The following is a 25,626-nucleotide window of genomic DNA, read 5'->3' on the forward strand; positions in this document are numbered from 1 at the left end:
ATTTTGGAAAATGATGGACAGAATATATGGTGGTGGTTCCACAAGATTATACTACTATATTTCTACAGTACCTTGTGCATGTTTACATACACAAATACTTACCGTTATGTTCCAATTATCTACAGTATTCAGTACAGTAACATGCTGTACAGGTTTCTAGCCTAGGAGCAATGGGCTATACCATATGGCCTAGGTGTGTGATAAGCCATACCATCTAGATTTGTGTAAATGCACTCTATGATGTTCACACAATGATGAAATCACCTAATGACACATTTCTCAGAACATATCCCCATTGTTGACTGATGCATGATTATACTTTTATAGATAAGATTTTTTTTTTAAATTGGAAGGTGTACAGAAGAAATGGGGGGGAATATCCAGCGAGAATGATGGAGCGGGAATACATGAAATTATCACAAGAATAGGTATCTTTTAATCCACCACAGTGACACTAATTAGTGGAAATCTTTTGACTGTTTGAGATTATTTTGGTTCCTTTTATTTGTGCACTTCACCCAGTTGCCTAAGTTGATGACCCATTATTATACCTCGACTGATACACTGGGGAGAGGTCTTCTGGGATCTGAACTCCCAAAGGATCTGTAAAGACATGCTCTGTGTAGACGCCAGTTTGGGAGATGTCCACTGTGTCTTCAGCTGACCCCGCATTCCCTTCTGTAGCTTCAGTTGCTTCTTCTGCTGTTGGAACATTTTCATCAACCTCACTATTTTCTGCTTCCATTTCTACAAAGTAAATAAAACACTATTCCAAGTCTGGGCTTTTCTCCTCCAATTATTTCCCCACACAAACCCCTGTTATAGAATTCCATTCCATCTACCCACTCCTTCACACTGTACCATGAAATTAAGAATTCTTCATTCCATTTAACAGTCATTACAGCATTTTTTTTTTTTTTGAGACAGAGTCTTGCTCTGTTGCCCAGGCTGGAGTGCGGCGGCGTGATCTTGGCTCACTGCAAGCTCCACCTCCCAGGTTCACGCCATTCTCCTGCCTCAGCCTCCCGAGTAGCTGGGACTACAGGCACCCGCCACCACGCCCGGTTAATTTTTTGTACTTTTTAGTACAGACAGGGTTTCACTGTGTTAGCCAGGATGGTCTTGATCTCCTGACCTCGTGATCCACCCGCCTTGGCCTCCCAGAGTGCTGGGATTACAGGCGTGAGCCACCACGCCCGGCCTACAGTATCTTCTTTCAAGTTCTTTCAACCTTGTTACTTAAGATCTAAATTAAGTCCATAATGAGGCATCTGAGTGTAGCCTTAGACTCTATACAGATGGCAGGTAAAGAGAATGGATATACCTGGTGGTTTATCCATCACTGGAGAAGCACCATTTGTACTAGGGGAAGTGGCAGCTCCCGTCACACCTTCTGCAGAACAACCAACCACTGTGATGCCTCCTAACAGGCTGTCTGTCTCTGCTGAGCTGTTGCTTGTCATACTTCCACATAAAGATGCTTTGTCTACCTGACCAGATTCTGAAAGATCTTCTCCTGCAGGGTAGTCTGTTTCTCGTGCACCTGAAAAATAAATCTTCTTGTAACAGCAAAGTAAACTTCTATAAATAACATTTTTTTTACTAAAACAATTACAGGTTTGAAATGAGAGTTATGCAGGTGAGATGTACAGGTAGTTGAATACAGGTAGCATTAAATTTACATAAACAAATCTTCACAATATGGGAAGGTAACTTAAAAAATTAAGAAAATACTTCTATTAACACAAGTGCAAATAAACATAAAAATGTCAGAAAATAAACTTTTTTTTTTTTTTTTTTGAGACAGAGTCTTACTCTGTCGCCCAGGCTGGAGTACAGTGGCATGATTCAGCTCACTGCAACCTCCGCCTCCTTGGCTTAAGTGATTCTCCTGCCTCAGCCTCCTGAGTAGCTGGGACTACCGGTGTGAGCCACCACGCCTGGCTAATTTTTGTATTTTTGGTAGAGACAGGGTTTCGGTATGTTGGTCAGGCTGGTCTTGAACTCCTGGCCTCAAGGGATCCACCAACCTCAGACAAGTCCTAGGATTACAGGTGCGAGCCACCACGCCTAGCCAGCTTCTGTTCTTAGTGAGCTCCTCAGCAGCCACAGGTTAAAAACAATCTATTATATCTGACAACATCAGCCAAAAAAAAATTCTTTTAAATCATCAAGACTACTGCTACTACTTGAAGTATAAGCTTCTATCCATTACTGTTAAAAATTAAATGCCCCAAGTATATAGGTTGATTAAGATATTAGTAAAACATTAAAAACTAAGCATTTATAATATAAAAATATTTACAATATAAAAATAAATCTCATTTTTTAATTTAGAAAATTGTTTTATTTATATCACACTAAAAACTTTTATTGCAGTAAAAATAATATATATATAAACAAAATTTGCCACTTTAACCATTTAAAAGTGTACAATTCAGTGGCACTAATATTTACAATATTGGCATTAATATTTATAACATTGTGTAGCCATCACCATTATTTTTTTTTTTTGGCGACAGAGTTTCACTCTTGTTGCCCAGGCTGGTGTGCAATGGTACAGTCTCGGCTCACTGCAACCTCTGCCTCCCAGGTTCAAGCAATTCTCCTGCCTCAGCCTCCCAAGTAGCTGCGATTACAAGCGCCTGCCACTGCACCTGGCTAATTTTTGTATTTTTAGTAGAAACGGGGTTTTACCATGTTGGCCAGGCTGGTCTCGAACTCCTGACCTCAGGTGATCCGCCCACCTCAGCCTCCCAAAGTGTCTGGATTACAGGTGTAAGCCACCATGCCAGGTCTTTTTTTTTTTTTTTTTTTTTTTTTTTTTAAAACACAGGGTCTTACTCCCATTGCCCAGGTGGGTGTGTAGTGGTGCAATCGTAGCTCACTGCAGTCTTGACCTCCCCGACTCAAGTTATCCTCCCGCCTCATTTTTTGATTTTTTGTGGAATGAGGTCTCACTATATTGCCCAGACTGGTCTCAAACTTCTGGGCTCAAGTGATCGTCCCACCTTGGCCTCTGAAAGTGCTGGGATTATGAGTGTGAACCTCCATGGCCGGCCTATTTCTAAAGCTTTTCCATCACCTCACACAGAAACTCTATGTTTTTATGAATGTGCCTATTCTAGATATCTCATATAAGCGGAATCATATAATATTTGTCCTTTTGTGTCCGACTTATTTCCTTTGGCATAGTGTTTCCAAGGTTCATCTGTGTTATAACATGTGTCAGAACTTCTACCTAGAGGATAATGTATTGTACTCTTAAAAATTTGTTAAGAGGGCTGGGCATCCCAATACTTCGGGAGGCCAAGGCAGGCAGATCACTTGAGCCCAGGAGTTCCAGACCAGCCTGGGCAACATGGTGAAACCCTGCCTACAAAAAGTACAAACAACTTAGCCAGGTGTGGTAGTGTGCGCCTGTGGTCCCAGCTACTTGGGAGGCTGAGCTGGGAGGATCACTTGAGCCCGGAAGGTCATGGCTGCAATGAGTACAATGAGTTGTGACTGCACCACTGCAATCCAGCCTGGGCAACAGAGTGAGGCCCTGTCTCAAAAAAACAAAAACAAAAATGTGTTAAGAGGGTAGATCTCAGGCTGGGTTCAGTGGCTCATGCCTGTAATCCCAGTACTTCGGGAGGACGAAGCGGGTGGATCACCTGAGGTCAGGAGTTCAAGACTAATCTGACTGCCCGGGGTGGTGGGTCACACCTGTAATCTCAGCACTTTGGGAGACCGAGGCGGGCAGATCACGAGGTCTAGGAGTTCGAGACCAACCTGGCCAATATGGTGACACCCCATTTCTACCAAAAATACAAAAATTAGCCGGGTGTAGTGGCTCGTGCCTGTAGTCCCAGCTACTTGGGAGGCTAAGGCAAAAGAATCACTTGAACCCAGGAGGTAGAGGTTGCAGTAAGCCGAGACGGTGCCACTGCACTCCAGTGTGAGTGACAGAGTAAGACTCCATCTCAAAAAAAAAAAAAAAAAAAGACTAGCCTGACCAACATGGTAAAACCCCGTCTCTAGTAAAAATGCAAACAATTAGCCGGGCGTGGTGGCAGGTGCCTGTAATTCCAGCTACTCGGGAGGCTGAGGCAGGAGAATCACTTGAACCTGGAAGGTGGAGGTTGCAGTGAGCCGAGATCATGCCATTGCACTCCAGCCTGGGTGACAGAGTAAGACTCTGTCTCAAAAAAAAAAAAAAAAAAAAAGTAGAACTCATATTAAGTATTCCACAATAAAATATAAAAAAGAACTTCATTCCTTTTTATGGCTGAATAATATTCCAACATATGGATATATCACATACACTTCTTTAATTTTTAAACTAATGTTTTAACATCACATAATGTTTAATCCAAAACTTTAGAAGACCTTTCCTTATTAATTAATCCAAACAGTCCTCTGGCTCCCAGTTATTTTCTCATATTCCCATTGTTTTATTTTCTTCACAGTATTTTTCACTACCTGAAAATATCTTCTTTATTCAATGGTTTCCAGTTTGTTTTTTAATCTTCCCTAACTAGAACATAAGCTTCATGACAGCAAGGTGCAGAACTGCATCTTCAGCTGCTACATCAGTGCCCAGCAGGTAGGTGGATGGAGGGGAGGGCAGAGAAACGCATGACTCACTCTTACCTGGCACACTTGCAATGCACAGAACATGAGAGTTGCAAACAGTGAAACTGTCTAGGATGTTGCCAGGTTGAACAGCATCAATAATAAGAACTTTTGTAGCCGAATGAGTGCTGGTACAGATCCAAACTAGACTGGATAATTCTTCTTGATTTTTTAACTCCTTCTGCTGTTCCTGTATAGGCAAAGGAGGAAAAATGTTTAAAACAATATGTATGTACAAATATTCATAAGGTGGTGCTGTTACAGTAAAAGGCAATACTATTTCAAATTTATTTCCAGATTATTTGGAAGGGTAAAAATACAACCACTGATGTGGTTTGGCTGCGTCCCTACCCAAAACTCAACTTGAATTGTATCTCCCCGAATTCCCACATGTTGTGAGAGGGACCCAGGGGGAGGTAATTTAATCATGGGGGCCAGTCTTTCCCATGCTATTCTCGTGATAGTGAATAAGTCTCACGAGATCTGATGGGTTTATTAGGGGTTTACACTTTTGCTTCTTCCTCATTTTCTCTTGCTGCCACCATGTAAGAAGTGCCTTTCATCTCCTGTCATGATTCTGAGGCCTCCCCAGAGGTTACCTATGTAAGCCCAATTAAACCTCTTTTTTCCTTCCCAGTCTCGGGTATGTGTTTATCAGCAGTGTGAATATAGACTAATACAACCACCTATCAATATTAATTAGTAGATGAAAAACTAGCAGTTAGGCTGGCACAGTGGCTCACGTCTGTAATCCCAGCACTTTGGGAGGCTGAGGTGGGAGGACTGCTTGAGGCCAGAAGTGTGAGACTAGCCTGGTCAACACAGTGAAACCCTCGTCTCTACAAAAAATAAAATTAGCCAGGTGTGGTGGTGTGGGTGTGTAGTCCCAGCTACTTGGGTGGCTGAAGTGGACAGATCACTTGAGTCCAGGAGGTTAACACTGCAGTGAGCCATGATCATGCCACTGCACTCCAGCCTATGTGATAGAGTGAGACTCTGTCTCTAAACAGCAACACAAAACTAACAGGTAAAGCAGAACAATGATAAAATGTTCCATTAGCTTGATCACTGTAGTGATTACATACGTGTACACATGTGTCAAAACTCTGACCTATACCCATTTCGAGTGCACACTTTATTGCATGTAAATTATACCTCAATATTTTAAAATTGATTTTAAAAGGGTGCTGAGGGACAGTAAGCCAGGGCATAGTAATCCCAATTAGAAGCTGGACCCAGAGGCAAATTTTGGATGAAAGAGTTAAACTCATAGTCTCATAAACCAGGTCAAATGTTAGTACACACACTTACCTTAAGTTCCTGATCTAACTTATCTAAACTACTCTGAGAGGCACTTCGCTGTTTACTGCCTTCTGTATCCAAACCAGCAACATCCTTGTAAAATACACTTGCTCCAACAACAGAACCACCATCTCTGGTCTTCCCACCAGATAAATTGACTCCAACAGCACACCACAGCTTCTCAGGTGAAAAAGAAAACAATATTAAGTCTAGAAATGTTTAGCATTTTCATGTTTTCTTAAAATAACTAATGGTTGTAAATACAGGTCTTATAACCTAATATTATAAAATGAACAATAACCTCACCATAGAAGTAATACTTATACTTTTTTGGTTTTAGAAAAAAAACTACCCAGAGTTTAGAAAACATCTCCTTTTAATTCACAATGAACTTACCTTCATTGATGTATCTTTTTCATCCAGAGGTCTGAGATAGACAGGCACAGGTAAATTTTTCATCTTATTTTCACCTTGACCATTGGTTACCTAATAATGGTGGAAGGAGGAGTGAAAAAGGCACATTAGTAAGCCTCATCAAAAGTGAACTTATTACAGATCCACTGAGACATGAGCAAGCACTGCTGTTATTTACTCCTTGAAATCAAGTTCAGGTTTTTTGTTTTTTTGTTTTTTTGAGACAGGGTCGCTCTACTGCCCAGGCTAGAGTGCAGTGGCTTGATCATGGCTCACTGCAGCCTCAATCTGTCAGGCTTAAGCGGTCCCCTCCCACCTCAGCCTCCAAGGTAGCTGGGACTACAGGCACAGGCCACCACACCCAGCTAATTTTTTAAATTTTTTGTAGAGATGAGGTCATGCTATGTTGCCTAGGCTGGTCTCAAACTCCCTGAGCTCAAGCCATCCTCCACCTTGGCCTCCCAAAGTGTTAGGATTATAGGCATGAGTCAATAACAGGCACCATGAGCCAATGACAGGCATCAGCCAATTTTGCCATTCTTATTTGAAAAACAGAAAAATCAAGTTGAGCAATTCAATAAACAGGATATAATGGGAGCTCAAAAAGAGGCTCTAATTCACACATATGTGCACACGTGCACATGCATATGTGTTTGTACATGAACATGTGAGTCTTTTGGGGTAGGAATTATGGAGTAGACAGATAAAATTCCTGAAGACCTGAACTTAATTTTAAATGAACAGTTTGAAAAGTTCCATGCCAATAATTTTTTCAACAATGATGCTGGTTTTTTAAAAAATGAAATCTTCAAATATTAAACCAGAATTGCTCTGGTTACAGCAGAGCGGGTACCTCAAACTCCATGCACTTAGCCACCCTTTATTGACTCCTCCCCCCCTCACAGACTCAGAGCATTTCATTTGAGTTCTACAGCTCTAGAAAACAGCCTGAAAACCACCACCCTCCATGCTTAAATGTGTGCCCAGTCCATGCGGCTGAGATGAGCAGGGCTGGGATGCGTACAGTGAATCCTTCATGCCCACGCACACTCAACTTGCCCTCTTCTTTCCTGCTGGATGCTCTTACCACATGTGCATATTACCTGTTTGTACTTCTGAGGCAGACTCCAGCCAAAAGCCTGCACTCTACCGTCTTCCTTCTGAACATGTGCTTTTACCTGACGATACTGCTCTCTCTTTTGTTCTCTGCGTGAGGCTAAACTAGCTTCAGTTCTAAAAGGAAAAAAGATTTTCCTAATTACATGAATACGTTTAATTACGTTTATCCCCAGTTTTATCTCTCCTCTGTCACTAAAACAGCAAAAACAACAAAAATTTACATGATTTCAAATTAGTTTATTTCAACTATAACAGCTCCTTAAAAAGTGTTATAATAGGCCGGGCACGGTGGCTCATGCCTGTAATCCCAACACTTTGGGAGGCCGAGGAGGGCAGATAGCCTGAGGTCAGGAGTTCGAGAGCAGCCTGGCCAACATGGTAAAACCCCGTCTCTGCTAAAAATACAAAAATTAGCCAGGCACGGTAGTGCGGACCTATAATCCCAGCTACTTGGGAGGCTGAGGCAGGAGAATCATTTGAACCCGGTGGAGGTTGCAGTGAGCCAAGATGGTGCCACTGCACTCCAGCCTGGGGGACAAGAGCAAAACTCCATCTCAAAAAACAAACAAACAAACAAACAAAGTGTTATACTAAAGCTGGTCTTTTTAAGTTTGTGCAGTGAATTCAGTGCCTAAGCTTTAACAGGTTACCAAGCAGCTTTGTTACATTAAATTGAATCATCAGCCACCAAATTTATATCAGGTTTCAGATGCTGGCCATATGAAAGGGGAAAATTCTTAAGTATGTTTGGCTTTTTTGTTGTTGTTGTTCATTCAACAAATATTTACTGAGAATATCCTAATGCCAGAAAACGTGCTAGAAGTGATTTAAAACTTGAGTAAATCAATATCTGCTTAGGAAGATTGATATAGGTTAGATTTTAGATCCCATTAACTTGTTTCAGAAAATAAAAATGCAAACTGATTTGGTAAACTTTGGAGTTATAAGGTAAAATATTATTAAAATGATTTTGAAAATAATTTGCCATTATTTTGGCCATTTAAATTTTCATAAGATGAGTTGCTATGTATATATACCACAGTTAACATATCTACCTATATGTCAGATACTTTACAGATAACTGTATAATTGGGTCCAATCACCTTTGAGATAGGTTATCAGATTAATTTTACAGACAGAGAAACTGGGGGCTCTGAAAGGTTAATTTGCCCAAGTGTTTGTACCTAATGAGTAGTAAAGTCAGGATGGAAAACCAAGTCCTCTGACACCAACAGAAATGTTCAAACATTTAGGATAAAGGCTCATTTACCTCTAAAGGCCATTCACATTTCTATTAATAGGTATTTATCAATGTTGTCATACCAGCAAAAATGAGGCATTTAAAAAAAAATCCTTCTCTTTTATAAAAACTGAAAAGCAATTTTCATAAAAACTTTTGACTACAAGTAATTTACTTAAAGACAGCCAAGTTACAGAAATGATTTTTTTTTTTTTTTTTTTTTTTTTTTTTAAAGATGGAATCTCACTCTGTCACCCAGGCTAGAGCAATGGCATGATCTCGGCTCACTGCAACCCCGCCTCCTGGGTTCAAGCGATTCTTCTGCCTCAGCCTCCCAAGTAGCTGTGATTACAGCCACACACCACCACGCCCAGCTAATTTTTGTATTTTTAGTAGAGATGGGGTTTCACCATATTGGCCAGACTGGTCTCGAACTCCTGACCTTGTGATCCGCCCACCTCGGTCTCCCAAAGTGCTGGGATTACAGGTGTGAGCCACCGTGCCTGGCCCAGAAATGATTTTTTTATAGATTTACCTGAATCCTTAGAGCTGATAAGAGGCCAAGAATATTCTGAACCACTAACTTAATTTAGAATATAATGATTAATTTGGAAAAGACTTACTCTTCACTAAGGAAATCAAAGGCTTTGGACTTATCCCCAGGGAGCTGAGATAAGGTGCTGCTTCTTTTCTTGACGGACGGAGTAACATGAGACGTGGGTGCATTGTACTTCAGATTAACAGGTGGTTCAGGCTTCTTAGTCGTGTTACTTGAGGAGCTGAAAAGTCGGCTGAAACTAAAAGAAGACAGTATGTCTGTGTGTCACATGTACTATGAGAAACAATCCTTGATTTTCCACAAACTTTAATGTTGAAGAAAATTTCAGAGTACTTTTACAAGGCAATGAGTTAGAAATTGGCAAAAACAGTTTTTGTAGTCATACGCTGTAGCCTTAGCAGTAACTCGTAGCCAAACTCAGACATTCAGTGAAGAGAAACTATTGCTTAGAATGGCGGGTGCCTGTTCTTTAACTAGCAATTTGTATAATGAAAGCAAGAAGCTCTTAAATAGAGGAAACTTCTCCTACTGAATAAATATATTTTGGTTTTTTTGCTAGCTCCTACTTGGTGCAAGGTAAGAGCGATTGTTAAACCGCAAGGTTATGGCTGTGTGATGTGAATGGAAGCTTAGTATGCCAGTTCTAAAAACAGCTTATTATAATCAAGTACTGGAACACATATTACCATGTTAACACACATTTTATACATTTTCTGATTAAGCTCAATTTAAACAACTACTTTCGGGTCTATTTCTTTTTTAATTGACACTTCCATTAAATAGCAGATTCACCAAAAAAGGGTAAGTTTTAATCACAGTAAACACATAGTACTTCTAGCACAAACATAACTCAAGCTCAATACATACACAATATTACTCAAACCCTACAAGCACTAAATTTCTCATCTTCACTTTGTAAAGTTTCTTACAATCACAAAACCAGCCAATCAGAAACTTATTTAATGGGGATCCAGGTCATTTTCAAGTCTCTAAATAATTCCCCATTATTTAAATTTGGCAGAGGATTGCAACAAATGCACAGTCAACATGATGCAGCTTACGATATCATATTTTTTGTCCTTGAGAAGAGCCTTACCGAGTTGGCACACTATATATTAAAAAAAAAAAAAAAGTTCAGTTTAGCTACTTAACCATTACCCCTAGTTTAAAAAAAAAAAATGAAGGAAAGAAAATGGACATAAAATCATTCTTGGAAATAAATTTTGACTGTAATTTTCTTGTCTCATGTGCTGTCTAACATCTTTGTTTTTCAATACTTACAACTGCCAAATGCTTGACCTTTTTTTTTCCTGCATGGCTGGATTTTCTCGTGATGCCCTACATTCAAAAAGAAAAGAAAAGAAACATTTATCAGTGAGGTATTCTACCTTTCTTTCTGAAGAACAAGAGACCCAAGAAGTTCATGGGATACACAGAGGGGAGTCAACAATTAAGTTCAATAAATACTGTAGTTACTTTGACCTACCATGTGTCAGTCAATCTGCTAAAGATTGACTTTAATTCTACTAAGAAAAATAAAATATCATCCCTCCCTCAAAGAGCTTAGTCTACCGACAGAGGACTGTAATATGTGCTAGACAGCCAACATGCCTGAATGATATTTAAAATTTTTTATTGAAAAGATACCCTCTAACTTTCCCTTTTATTAAAATATTGCCTTGTAAATTCCCATCTTTACATAAAAGTCTCTATCATCTATACTCGGAGCTCTCACAAAATAGCTTGAAACTTTGGCATCCTGAGGGGTCATTTTTCACAAGACTAAAACTTTTCCATCACTGGAAAGATGACCACAGCAGGGAAGAGGATAAACTGGATTGACAGGTGATTCAACAAAATTTCAGAAAATAAGATATTCCAAATTGATTTATGAGGTGGTAGGGATTCTGCCATCATAATCAGAGCTCTCTTTTCACTACTTTTTTGTTATGAACTAAATTAAAAACATTCTTTACTTCAGTGAAGTAGTTAAAAGTAAGCTACTATTTCCTTTAATTTGTTGACTACCACTTGGCTGCTAGAGTTAAAAACAGCAATGGAAAGTGAAGTCCAGTTGGGCACAGTGGCTCACACCTGTAATCCCAGCACTTTGGGAGGCCGAGGCGGGCGGATCACTTGAGGTCAAAAGTTCGAGACCAGCCTGACCAACATGGTGAAACCCTGTCTCTACTAAAAAATACAAAAATTAGCTGGGCATGGTAGCGCACACCTGGAAACCCAGCTACCAGGGAGGATGAGGCAGAACTGCTTGAACCCAGGGGGTGGAGGTTGCAGTGAGCCGAGATCACACTTCTGCACTCCAGCCTGGGCACAGAGCAAGACTCCATCACAAGACTCCATCTCAATAAATGAATGAATAAATAAATAAATAAATAAATAAATAAATAAATAAGGTCCACTTTCAGTTTTTTGAATATTTACTTATTATTTATTCGATATCCACTAAATACTGCAGTTAAGAACATACACTTTCTAGTGGGTTAGTTTCCTTGTCTAATAAATATAGATTAGAATACTGATCTTCCTTATGGGCAGTTATAAGCAATTACTATCACAGCAAATTGTAAAATGATATGTTAAAACACTTGATTCTAATATAACATTGGTAAAGGGTACATAAACTGTGAAATAAATGATGTAATCCTAAAGAAGTAAAAGTTGGCAATTAGAGAATGTGTTCATAAACTTAAAAACAACATGTCAATGCATACTATTATTGGTAAATCTGATATGACAATCCAAACTCAAAAATATGGGTAAATTAGGGGGCAGCTCATTTACAAACTTTTCAGTTCTTTCTAAATTAAAGAAACACTATTACTGAGACTACAACCATTAGATGGCAGCATTGGGTGAGATTTAAGAGCCATCTGACTGAAAGATACCAATGGAAGGGTGTACTTGGCATGAACAGTTAGAAAAGAGAGAAAGAAATCAAGCAAGAGTATTTTACAGAAAGACACTGAGTCAAAATAATTTATTTTCCTGTGTTGCATATGAAATTGTGATCTTTTCCTGACATTACTGGGTAAGTAGTATTGATTTCTATATTTGAAAAATGACCATCATTCCTAAGTAATAATAATTGCCTTTTAGAGGTCGTAGTAACATCCTCCAAGATCCCTTACTGGCCCAAAAAGCACCTCCTTTGATCACATTCTGTTGCTAATTCTGAGTGTTACTTTAAAAAGTCTCTCCTAGTAAACAGAGAAAGGGGCTTGGATCTTACAGGGCAGGACTTAAGTTCCACATGAAGGAATATTCAAACCTACAAAATAATAGTAGGAAAATAATGGAGCGCTTGTCATACAAACCGAATCATCTCTGTCCATCGAACAGCTTCCTGAAGCTCCATCAATCTCTCTTTATACTGGTTTCGCTCCATGAGAACACGGGCCATTTCTACTCTAGTAAACCGTTTCCTCTGGGCTGTGGGAATATCACTCTATAATGACAAGAAAATGACATATCATTCTGGAAGCTTATAAATGTCTTGGTGTTCATCTCAGAGTTATGCAAAATCTTTCAGTTTTTAAGCATTCCTTAATTTTTAATCTAGTAGATCATTTAAAGAAAAATGGCTTTATAAAAACAAAATCAACAAAGACTTTTTTTTAAAAAAATATATTTTTTGAGACAGGGCCTTGATCTGTTGCCCACCCTGAAGTGCAGTGGTGAAATCATAGCTCACTGCAGCCTGGAACTTCTGGGTTAAAGCAATCTGCCCACCCCAGCCTCCTGAGTAGCTTGGACTACAGGTACATGTCAACACGCCTGACTAATTTTTAAATTTTTTTGTAGAGACAGGGTCTCGTTATGTTGCCCAGGCTCATCTTGAAATACTGGACTCTAGTGGTGCTCCTGCCTCAGCTTCTCAAAGTGTTGGGACTACAGGTGTAAGCCACTGTGCCCAGCCAACAAAGAGATTTAAATAATCACTCATGACTACAAAGATAAAAGGCAGCAATTTAATTTCTGAATATATATACACAGATATTTGAACATATTATAAAGAAATCATAAAGAGTAGTGTGGGTCTGTTCTCATGGTTCTTAAAAATATATAAAAAATAAAGCTAAAAAATAAAAAGAATAGTAGGGGGCTGGACGCAGTGACTCACGCCTGTAGTCGCGGCACTTTGGGAGTCTGAGGCGGGTACAATGCTTGAGCTTAGTTTGAGACCAGCCTGGGCAACATAGTAAAACCCTGTAGCCAGGAGTGGTGGCACACACCTGTAGTCCCAGCTACTTGGGAAGCTGAGGTAGGAGGATTGCTTCAGCTGGGAGGTCAAGGCTGCAGTGAGCCATGACCATACCACTGCAGTCCAACCTGGGCAAGAGAGTGCAATCCTGTCTTTAAAAAACAAAACAACAACAACAACAAAAACAACAACAAAAACAAACAGTAGGGCCAGGCACGATGGTCCACGCCTATAATCCTAGCACTTTGGGAGTATCACTTTGAGCCCAGGAATTTGAGACCAGCCTTGGCAATGTGGTGTGAGATCCCATCTCTACAGAAAATAAAAAATTAGCCACGTATGGGGTGGCGCACAACTTTGGTCCCAGCTACTCAGGAGGCTGAAGTTAAAAAAAAAAAAAAAGCATAGAATTGCTTGAGGCCAAGAGTTCAAGACCAGCCTAGGCAACATAGTGAGACCCTGGCTCTACAAAAAATAAAATTAAATTAATAGCCAGGTGGGGTGGCATGCACCTGTAGTTCCAGCTACTTGGGAGGCGGAGGCAGGAGGATCACTTGAGCCCAGGAGTTCAAGGCTGTGGTGGGATATGATTGCCACTGTACTCCTCCAGCCTGGAGGAGTGACAGAGCAAGACTCTGTCTCTAAAAAATAGTAATAATACTAAAATAAAAATAAAGGATAGTGCAGATTTTAAACTAAAACCAAAATTGTTATCTACATAGATTTAATACACTATTGTAAGTTTCACCTAAAAATGTTGCTCTACCATTATTTTAATTCATGCTCTGTAACAATCGTCACTCAGAAAATAGTTATAAGTTAGTTCCATTTATCTCAAATTACCAAACCACATACTCACCCAAGACCAGCATTAAGGGTAAACTTATTACCTAGTTACCAAGGTACTCAACTATAAGAGTCGCTAAAATACCAACATAAATGCAAACAGATGGAGACAACTGTATTAGCCAGAATTACTCTTAGACAGAGTATGTGAATATAGAGTGAGCACAGGGGTAAGACCTCAAGGGAACATGGCTCAAGTCAACGTCCTATAGGCTTTCATTATCCACATTTTGGATCAAAGCTGAAAGGTTTGGGACATAAGAAAGACACTAAGCTTAGCCCTTAGCAGTCCTCCTCCTTTGTTGTTCTGTTATAGAAACTGGGCCTCTCCTTTCAATAAAGTTAAACAACAAATGATAAAGATCTTAAGTTTATAACACAGCAAGCCCACTAGTAGGTATGTACTCTGGAAAGGCTACTGCTCCTGCCCACCTGGAGACTTCTACTGTAATGTTTGTAACAACAGCATTGTAAAAAGCTGAGACAAACTAAATATTCCTTAACAGGAAAATAAATACATAAATTGTGACTATTCATTCAATGGGATATCATAAAGTAGTGAATATGAATGATAACTACAGCACTGTACTACACGGATGAATCTCAAAAACATGCCACTGAGGAAAAGAAGCTGGTCTCCAAGACTAAATGTAGTGTGAAACACAAAAAAGGAAAAATTAAACCATATATACATATGTGATATGATAAAATTTTTTTTTTAAGTTAAGCAAATGATAAATATAGGATAGCAGCTTTCTCTGCAGGGGAGGAACACAGAATAGTTCAATGTCTAGTAATGTTCTAATTATCAGATTGGGTGGTAGGTTCACAATGTTAATTTATTATGATTCATAACCTGCATGTCTTACTTGTTTTTGTGTGTATCATTACATAAGATACTAAAAAACAGAGACTGAAGGGGCACCAAGTGATCATTCTGTCCAAAACAACCACATATCTTTGGTCTGACCTTTGACCTGCAAACATTTGTTATAAGAATGATTATGAGGCTGGGCTGGGTGGCTCACATCTGTAATCCCAGCACTTTGGGAGGCTGACCAGGGTGGATTACCTAAAGCCAAGAATTAGAGACCAGCCTGGCCAACAAGGCAAAATCCCACCTTTACTAAGAATACAAAAAATTAGCCAAATTAGACTTGTAGTCCCAGCTCCTCGGGAGGCTGAGGCACAAGAATGGCTTGAACCTGGGAGGTGGAAGTTGTAGTGAGCTGAGATCGCAGAACTGCACTCCAGCCTCGGTGACAGACTGAGACTCTGTCTCAAAAAAAAAGACTAGGGGTATGCTAAGGATATTAGCAAGAAGCTCATATTTATTCTTCTGTACTTATGTTCACAACAATATGAACTAATTGACTAGTACTAAAGTTCTAGACTTCATCTTTTTAATACTGTTAAATAATTTTTATTATTAAGCTTTCATATTTCTAAATCAAAATTTGAAACGAAACAACAATAACAACAACCAAAAACCCCAAAATGTCCCAGTTGGTCCTCAAACTTGAACATGCAACTACAGGTAAGAGCACAGAGGCACAGAGGGAAAATGAGCACACTGCATGGAGCTAGAAAGCTCAGCATCTGGATACCATGCAGAAGCATGAGCTATCCTATTCATGACCATAAACATGTCTCCTGACTTTTAAAAATCTTTATAGTATTATATCCAAAGCTTACGTAGGAAGATCTTCCCGAAACACCAAAACATGGTAAGGTAAGAAAAAAAGTCCAAAATTGTAAACCTACATCATCGTCATCTTTTGCTTTTTGCCTTGCATCTTCAGCTTCTGCCCGAGCTCTAGTGGGGAAAAAACAAAACAAAACATGTTATTTGAATTGAGCTCATCTTTTCAAAAAAATAAGAGTAGGTCAACAATTTTAACTACCACTAAAGGATTATTTTTCTTTTCCCAAACAGGGTATTTAGCCACCCTCATTTGGTGGAGTATCATCATATCATAGCATTGTTCAGAAATAAACAGGTATTAAAGAAAGTGGGATAAAAAAATAATGTTTTAAATTTCCTTATTATCAAAACAAAGATGTTTGAACAGTCTCTAACTCTTTTTGCATCATTATAGACATAAAAAATAACAATATTTAGGCCGGGTGCAGTGGCTCACGCCTGTAATCCCGGCACTTTGGGAGGCCGAGGCAGGTGGATCACCTGAGGTCAGGAGTTCAAGACCAGCTTGGCCAACATGGCGAAACCCTGTCTCTACTAACAGTACAAAAATTAGCTGTGTGTGGTGGCAGGCACCTACAATCCCAGCTACTCAGAAGGCTGAGGCAAGAGAATCGCTTGAACTCGGGAGGCAGAGGTTGCAGTGAGCCAAGGCTTTGCCACTTCACTCCAGCCTGGGCAACAGGAGTGAGACTCCGTCTCAAAAAAACAGAAAACAAAAAACAAAAGACAATAATATTTAGATGACAGGCTAACAACTGGAGGGGCCTGCTCACAGCAGAGGCAATGGGCTGGGGCACTTTGCCCTCTCCCAGGCAGCTCTTGGCCTTCCAGGCTTGAGTGGACAGAAGGTCTCAGTCTCAGGGTTACATCTGTAACCCTTTGTGGCATAACTGGCAAAGAGTTTGGTTTAGAACAACACAGTTAAAACTTACTTCCTAAGCTCTTCCTCCAATTCTCTGTTCTTTTCCTCTAGTTTCAGTTTGGCTTGCTTCACAGCCTCCAATTCCCCTTGCAGCACATCTTTCTCACAGGTCAGTTCATCCACTTTTGCTATCAAATCATTCTTCACTATGTTCAAAGCATTTCTAAGAAACACATATTTCAAGTGCATCATTACAAATAAATATTCTTTCCATCTTTCAGCTATTCCTTTGTAGACTAAACTGTACAACCATAGACAATAATAATTTAATACTTCAAGACATTCTACCCAATGTTGTTTGTAGATAAATGCAAAAAGAACACAAAGCAACAGTCTAAGATTTTACTCATTTATCAAATGAATAAAACAAGACAGATCATCAATTACTAAAAAGTGAGAAGATTAAATTTTAAAAATAGCATTCAAAAGGTTACTATTGTTAATAATTCCTCAGAATATATTACCCAATCAATAAAGTAAAATTATTTCTTGATGTTACCTTTAATAAATAATGAGAAAACAGTTTAAACTGGAAAGTTAAGACAGTCTACGCTGAAGAAAAAACCCTGATATCCAGTTCCTTTGGGTATAGTGGGCATAGGACCTTATTATAACTGCATTCTGTCTTGGATATACACAGATGTTCCAAAGTTGCTCTGACACAGCAAACTGACAAAGGAACCCAGTCAGCTTTTCCACATGACTGGGGATCTGTCCCATTAAATGTGTCTGAGGGCTTAAGACTCCACAAATTGCACCCAAGAATGCACAGCTATGGAAGACAGCTCTGAAGAGGAAGGCTGAGTATACATGAAAATATTTGTGTGGAAATAAAAGAAACCCCAGGAGAAGAGATAAGAAAACAGACAAATGTTAAGGGAGGGAGCAAAAAAAGTGTAAAACCAGGACAAATTTAGAAGATTAAGAAAAAGGCATGGATACTTATAGAGTGAAAAGGAGATGACAATCTGTGTTTCTACAAAAAAACAGGGCAAGGGAACATATCTAACAGGGCAGTGTAGGTCCCAACATTAGGGTGTGTGTGTGTGTGTGTGTGTGTGTGTGCACACTCAGAGTTGGGGAACGAGATGGGACAGGGAGATTCCATTAGTATTATGTTAAAACGATGAAGTGTCATTGACTTGGACAAGAAGAAAATTCTTTATCTTCTGTTAAAATTTCACATATACTTACTTGGTTTCCAACAGTTGTGTATTTTCTAATATAAGATTCTCAACTTCCCGACCCATTCCTATCAAACGAAAAAAGATAAAGACTTTGAAAATAAATGCATCAATAATTATATACATTTAAAATATAAGCTATAGTCACAAGTTTTATTTTAGAAATTTTATCTGTCCTTTATTAATTTTATTTTGTCTATAATTTCATTTGATGGACCTACTTTAATAGATTATAAAATTATAAATAATTATTCATTACGAACAAGGCTAAAGATTTTGTTGGCCTATTTCTTTTTTAAATCTGAATCGGCTTGCTAGGGAATGAGGCCAATTTTTAATATCTGTTAGTCTATATTTCTCATAGATAATATTTCAAAAGGATCAAGACTTTTCTGCCAAATATTCTAATATTCCAACACTACATAGGGTAAAAAAGAACAGCTTTAATATGGATCGAAATTGTTTCTAAATCACATCTGACCTCGTAGGCTTTTGCCTAAAAATTAGACCTTATTAATAGAGAACAGGCAAAAACAAGGCTAAAGAAAGATAGAACCCCAAGGCAGATGAAACCTTACCAAAGAAATTATGGTCTTAAAGCCCATGCATTCCATGTAAAGCAAAAACAAAGAACAAGAAATGTTTTACGTAAGAAACAGCATGAAAACAGATTATTAATCTATAAAGTTTTATACATGATATGAAAAACATCTGGAATCACAATGTTATGATTTAATGCATAATGATGTGCAAAAGACAGAAATAAAGATGATTTCCTTCATTCATAAGGATGCTGATATACCTAAAAAATGCTTTACCAATTCTTTCTCACAATAAGATTAACTATAATTAGATTGAAAATCTTCAATTAACAATACAAACTTTCCTTCAAAGTGCCACCTATAAAATAATAATGTTCAGTTATCACTTGAGTGAATGTCTTTGATCGTGTTTGGCATTTTAATGACTACTGTGAGATAAGCACGTAGAGCATCCAATGCAAGATCCAATGGAGTGGTCTTTAGGGAGAAGAAAGCTATTAATTTGCTTTTCCTAAGAAACTGAAGAAATGAAATAACACACTAGGGAATATCACTCAAAAAACAAAAAATCAAAGCAAAACAAAACAAAACAAAAAAAACCCACCAGTCACTCATCTTCAAGGAATTGTGAGCTAATAATGTTGGAAAATCACATACAATGGAAGAAGTAATAATCATAACCCAAGTAAACAGGAAAGAAATCTTTCTAAAGAAAACTACATACGACAAAGGAGTTAACATGTCCCTTTATTTTAAAAAAGGTAATTTTCCAAATGATTTAAAAATTACTTAAAACAAAAACAGCCAACCTAGGAATGCTACATATTCTGTGTACCTGGACTCATATTTTGTCTATATTCTAATTTTCTCAAAGATCAGGGTACTTACACCAGAAAGAATTAAATATCAGAAATAGATTAATCATCTACCTATGTATTATCTACAAACTGAAACCAAACAAAACAAAATAAAAGTCCCAAAAAAGTTTCCAAATTCTAACTCCAAAATGATCTTCGGCAAGATATTTGCTTTAAACACTAATGCTAAATTTTTATTCCTTTGTAGATACAATGGCTGGGAATGTTAACTTTTTAACAAAGTTATAGAGACAGAAGAAATAAGAATGTAGACTGGTTGAAAACAGTTTATATAGTAACTATGTTTGCTATAAACTCTCAAGCAGTTAGATAAGCGTGGAAGCTGAAAATATATGAAAGGCAAAAAAATAGTTGAGCAGAAAAAAATGATGAGAAAGCATTAGATGAGAACAGCAGCCAAGAACACCTAGCTTAAAAAGCAGTAATATTAAAATATTCAAAATCATACACACCAGAATATTCCCCTACGTAAGCAGCCCAAGAGAAAAATGAATGAGAATCTCAATTAGATTGTTTTCAGAAAGCAAGAACTAAACTCATTTACTTTAAAATGAGAGAGAGGAAACAAAGAAATTGACAAGATGTAGAGAAACCATTAACTAAACACAATGAAGTGTAAATATTTATAAAAAGGAAAAAAATTGAAATGTGTGCTACAGGAAAAACAAATCCTATAATATAGTTTCTAAAGTTTACATTAGCCATGAAGCCAGTAGACAAGACAGATAATTCTGTAAACTGGAGGGTATACAGGACATTTTTGAAAAGGTACAAAGTCCTCAGTGGGCTTAGAAAATTCACCGTATGATCCATATATTATCCTACTTGGCTTGCACGTCTTTGGGTGCATGAATATACTGCTACTGCGTCCTCACCATCACCTAAATGTGACTCAGTCTGTCCCACTATAATATGTTGTGAATTTCCTTGTATTGTACTTCTATTGTTGGTCTTTTTGCATCAATGATACAACAGCAACAACATTTTAAAATTATCATTAAAAGATTAACTGGCAATGTACAGAGCTTACTCTTAAGGGAAAACACTACAAAAAGTCATGAGGATACCAAATGGAAACACATGATGGTGCCTTTGAGTCTGCATGAGACCCGGATGAAGTAGAAATAAAGCCTTTCCGAGATGGCAAAAATAAATAAATAAAGTTTACATTAAATGTACACATTCCCAATGAAGAGTTATCTTAATATATGGTGTATAAATTGAATATATAACCAATAGGATTATCTAAAATTTCATTTTGAAATGATCAATAACTCTTTATAAGAAAAACATAAAGTGGCCTCATTTCTATTCAAGACTTAAATGAAGCACAAACTTAGGTCTAATACATTTGAAAACTTTACTTATTAAAAACAAGCAAAATAAAAAAAAAACTGCCTGGCAGTTTTTAAAATCACAGAAGTTTCATTTGGATTTTAACACTGATTCTCAAGCTAGGTCCATAGATGAGCTTCAGAGTTATATGGTAATCCCTTGAGAAGATGCACAATTTTATCTAGTTCTACATGTGTGTTTTTCCAAAGGTACATTGCTCTCTTACAAATTCACCTGTGAAGAATTTTTAATCCCAAAAGGAGAAGAATCACCGATTTTGAGGTGAAACAAAACTGTCAGAACTATTTAGCAATCCCATTCACTCAGTTGCTATGTGCTAAATATGCAACAGTGAACAAAGACACAGTTGTCTCAGCCACATTGAGCTTATAGTCTGTCCAGGGAGACAGATAACTAAAAAATAACAGTAAAGTATGAAGAGTGGTATAATAAAATGCAGTGCCATGGGAATACATTTCAGGGAAAACTAAGCTTTAATTAGGGGATCAAGGCAGAATTCCTGGAGGATGTATCACTTAAGCAAGGCAAGAAAAGAAAAAAAAAAAAAAATATATATATATATATATACATATATGTATGTATACACACACACATTTAGGAGAGGGAACAAACAAGCCTTGGTGATTAGCTGTGAGGGAAAGTGAGAGGTGCAGGATGGAGAGCTATTCATTCACTAAAACAGTGCCTGTTGGTCCAAGAGCAGCCTTGGGGGACAGAACAATAAAGATAACAAACTGAGCTTTATACATGTCAAACGTAAAGCCCTCCAAGTCATTTTAGGGGTGTCTAGCATGCAATTAGGAAATAATAGTCTTGGGCTCTAGAAAAAGATCTGAGATGGAGGTAAAAACTTGGGAGTAATTAGCCATGAAAACCAAGAAACAATGAGAGCAAACATGATTTCTTAAACAAAGTATCAGGCCTAGGACAGGAGCGCTGATACCTGAAAGACGAGCAAAGGAAGCGGATCCTGTTAAGATGACTGAAAAGGTAAGAGTCGAGACAGGAAAGGACACAGGCAAGTTGATATCACAGAAACCCAGCAAAGAGAGTTTTAAATAAGAAAGTTGAGGGATGAGACACCAATCAAGATAAAGGACAAATTGTTGAGATTCTTTTAAATTAGTAAAATCAGAAAAAGGTTGCGCTGGCGTGATGGTGCATGCCTGTAGTCCCAGCTACTTGGGAGGCTATAGGCAAGAGGATTCCTTGAGCCTAGGAGTTCCAGGACAGCCTACACAACGTAGTGAGATCTCACCTCAAAAAAAAAAAACAGTAATTGAAGTACTGAGTCCATATATAATGATTCAAATTTGTTATCACTGAATTACACAGAAGAGAAGCCAAGGACTTTTTTTTTTTTTTTGAGACGGAGTTTTGCTTTGTCACTCAGGCTAGAGTGCAGTGGTGCAATCTTGGCTCTCCGCAACCTCCACCTCCCAGGTTCAAGCAATTCTCCTGCCTCAGCCTCCCAAGTAGCTGGGATTACAGGTGCACGCCACAATGCCCAGCTAATTTTTGTAGTTTTAGTAGAGATGGGGTTTCACCATGTTGGCCAGGCTGGTCTCGAACTCCTGACCTCAGGTGATCTGCCCACCTCGGTCTCCCAAAGAGCTGGGATTACAGGCATGAGCCACCGTGCCCGGCCAGGAACATTTTTATTTACCATCTTTGACCAAAAATATTCATAAGTAACTAAACTTACAGTAATATATTAAAATATTCTAATCTGAACTATTCTAGAGATAAATGTATCAACATCTACAAAATGGAAAAGATAGTTTGTAGTCTGTTTCTTATCTTCAAAGTGGAAAAGAAACCAAAGCATCAGGATATTACTTTTAATTGATTTAAAAGACAACAGATATTTCTAAGTACTATGGGGCTTCTAAATACTTCATAAGAAAAGAAAGTTTGGGGCCACCAACCTTAAACATTTTATCACTCATTACTGCATTATGAGGTAACACAGTGTACAAATTATATTCAGAATTACTTCATTCTTGTTAATACAAACAGCATAAAGGAATTTTGTGGGGTGATGTATATTGATTCTGGTGAATTTTACTGCACTGAATATACATTTTAAAATTCTTCTAACATTTTTTCATCTGCTCCTCAAATTTGCCAGGGAGTTAGTTTCTCAAACTAATTATGCCTTAAAAGAAACTTTTCAGGTATAATTTGATGTAAACTAAAATTAAAACATAAAATTAAATATAAAAATGGAGTATTCCTTAAGAATTAAACTTTCAGGCCAGACATGGTGGCTCATGCCTGTAATCCCAGCACTCTGGGAGGCCAAGACAGGCGAATCATGAGGTCAGGAGTTTGAGACCAGCCTGGCCAGTATAGTAAAACCCCATCTCTACTAAAAATACAAAAATTAGTCAGGCATGGTGGTATGCGCCTTTAGTCCCAGCTACTCGGGAGGCTGAGGCAGGAGAATCACTTGAACCAGGGAGGCAGAGGTTGTGGTGAGCCAAGATCGCACCACGGCACTCCAGCCTGGGCAAAAGAGTGAGACTATGTCTCAAAAAAAAAAAAGAATTACAACTTTCTTAGCCCTCCATGAGAAACGCAATTCATTCAATTTCTTCCAAAGTTTTACTTAAACTTTAATGGTGACAATCCCTTTCTGTCTAACTATATGTACTTAAAATACTTTCAATCTCTCTTACTAGATACTTTATTTATTTATTTATTTATTTATTTATTTATTTATTTTTATGAGACGGGATCTGGCTCTGTCACCCAGGCTGGAGTGCAGTGGTGCAACCCAGGCTCACTGCAACCTCTGCCTCCCGGGTTCAAGCCATCCTCACACCTCAGCCTCCCAAGCAGCTGAACTACTGGCATACTCCACCATGCCTGGCTAATTTTGATATTTTTCGCCATGTTGCCCAGGCTGGTCTCGAACTCCTGAGCTCAAGCGATCCACTTGCCTTGGCCTCCCAAAGTGTTGGGATTACAGGCGTGAGCCACTGCAACCGGCCTAGATAGACATTTAGATAGAACTTGTGTTTTCCTTCAAAAACACTTTACAATGTCAAGGACATAACTGGCAATCAATAAATTTAACATAAAATAATGCAAGCAATGTCACTCCACTCCAAAGTCATAACAATTAACAAACGAAACCTTTTGAGAACAGTGTAATCTGTACTATAATTATACCAATAGATACAAATTTTTTTAGCTTAGTATCTCCAAAGGTATATATTTTTAATTCCATATAGTTTTTAATTTCTATAGGGTCCTAAGTTATAAGGAAGGTATACCAAAACTAATTCATAGGAGCCAGAACCTTGCACTGAAAGGAACTTCAGAGATCATCTAGGGCAGGGGTTGGCAAACTCTTTCTATAAAGGGCCAGACAGTAAATATTTTAGGCTTCAGATTTCAGTTGCCTACTCAACTCTGCTGTTGGTAGGCAAAGGCAACCACAGACAATAAGTAAATGGTGGTGTCTGTGTTCCAATAAAACTTTATTTACACACGCACACAAGGGGTCAGCTGGATTTGGCCCATAAGCGGCAGTTTGCCAGATTCCTGAACTAGGGTCCAGCTCCTTCATTTTACACACAAAGAAATTAAGGTCCAAAAAGGTTAAGACACTTGGCAAAGGTCAGCAGGCAAATAGTCTAAGAGCCAAATGCAATATTCTTTTCAGACCATGTATTCTTCTAGAACACAAACTTTAAAATGATTATATTTACCATAGGGCTAAAACATAATATACTCTGAGAAAACTTAGAAAAATCAAGTGTTATAATTTCTTATTTAATTAAAGTCAACAGAATATAATGAAATTTATGTAAGCCAGGGGATAACTAGGCATCAATCCATACACACACACATACACATACACACACACACACACATACACACACACACATCACCATGTTCTTATGTGTAGTTATCTGTTTTGAAATATAGCAGGAGTTCAATAAATTGTGTTGTATGAATTCAAAACATGAATTTAAATGCAATTCAGTTTTAAGCATACCCATATGCAAAGGTGCTTTCATTTAAAACTTTCATGATCACAAAGAATATGTTCCCAATAATTACCTAAAAGGGCAATAACCCTGTATCACTGAGCAGTTGGGGACATTTTAAAGGACTTTTCAATTAAATCATTTAAAAAATCAATTTTAAAAACAGTATGATATTTCTTCAGATGAGCTATCATACCTAGTAAATCTGCTCCTTCATCCACATCTCCTATTAGGCCTGAGCCAGCTGAAGACAGTTCTTCAAAGAGAGATTCTGTATTGCGATCAAAAGCTTTGTTCTCTATGCCTTTGGTGGGAGTGCTATGCAACAAGAACAACAAAACCAAATCAACAAATGACAAAGACTTTTTTGACGCTGTAAAATGAATACAATAGGCTAAGCTACATAGGACTTTCTTACCTATAATTTACGTTTACTAGAAAATATAACTTAAAAAGATTTCTCAAAGGCTTCCTAAGAAATTCTCACTAAGCTCCATGGAAATAGCTGGTGAAGAAATTATAGAATGTTTTTGTTGTGTGATCCCAGCAAACACAAGCAATAATGGCAGCTCCTCTGCTCTATACCAGGTGCTGGTCTCAGTGCTTCCCATAGATTACCTATGTCACAAGAAGGCAATTATGTATGTAAAAGCTGGTTAGAGTAGCATTTCTCACAGTGGCAAAAACTGAAATGACCTAAATGACTGTTAACAGGG

General features: G+C 38.1%; 1 protein-coding gene across 10 annotated transcripts in view; it reads right to left on the reverse strand.

Moving 5' to 3' along the window:
• The window catches only part of SPAG9 (sperm associated antigen 9), a 158,695-nt gene that overhangs the window by 26,952 nt on the left and 106,117 nt on the right, over positions 1-25,626 (reverse strand). For 9 of the 10 annotated variants that reach the window (NM_003971.6, XM_005257771.4, NM_001130528.3 and 6 more), the window contains 13 exons: positions 25,107-25,228; positions 18,144-18,201; positions 16,960-17,112; positions 16,087-16,138; positions 12,590-12,720; positions 10,536-10,592; positions 9,319-9,492; positions 7,440-7,569; positions 6,319-6,408; positions 5,932-6,099; positions 4,639-4,810; positions 1,325-1,543; positions 552-747 (listed from right to left, as the gene is read on the reverse strand). In NM_003971.6, coding sequence (NP_003962.3) covers positions 552-747; positions 1,325-1,543; positions 4,639-4,810; positions 5,932-6,099; positions 6,319-6,408; positions 7,440-7,569; positions 9,319-9,492; positions 10,536-10,592; positions 12,590-12,720; positions 16,087-16,138; positions 16,960-17,112; positions 18,144-18,201; positions 25,107-25,228 — 1,722 coding nt within the window. Of the gene's footprint in view, positions 1-551; positions 748-1,324; positions 1,544-4,638; positions 4,811-5,931; positions 6,100-6,318; positions 6,409-7,439; positions 7,570-9,318; positions 9,493-10,350; positions 10,363-10,535; positions 10,593-12,589; positions 12,721-16,086; positions 16,139-16,959; positions 17,113-18,143; positions 18,202-25,106; positions 25,229-25,626 lie in introns of all 10 variants that reach the window. The other variant, NM_001130527.3, reaches the window with a different exon arrangement.

The sequence above is a fragment of the Homo sapiens genome, chromosome 17 (genome assembly GCF_000001405.40).
Source record: "Homo sapiens chromosome 17, GRCh38.p14 Primary Assembly".
In the NCBI taxonomy this organism is placed as follows: domain Eukaryota; kingdom Metazoa; phylum Chordata; class Mammalia; order Primates; family Hominidae; genus Homo; species Homo sapiens.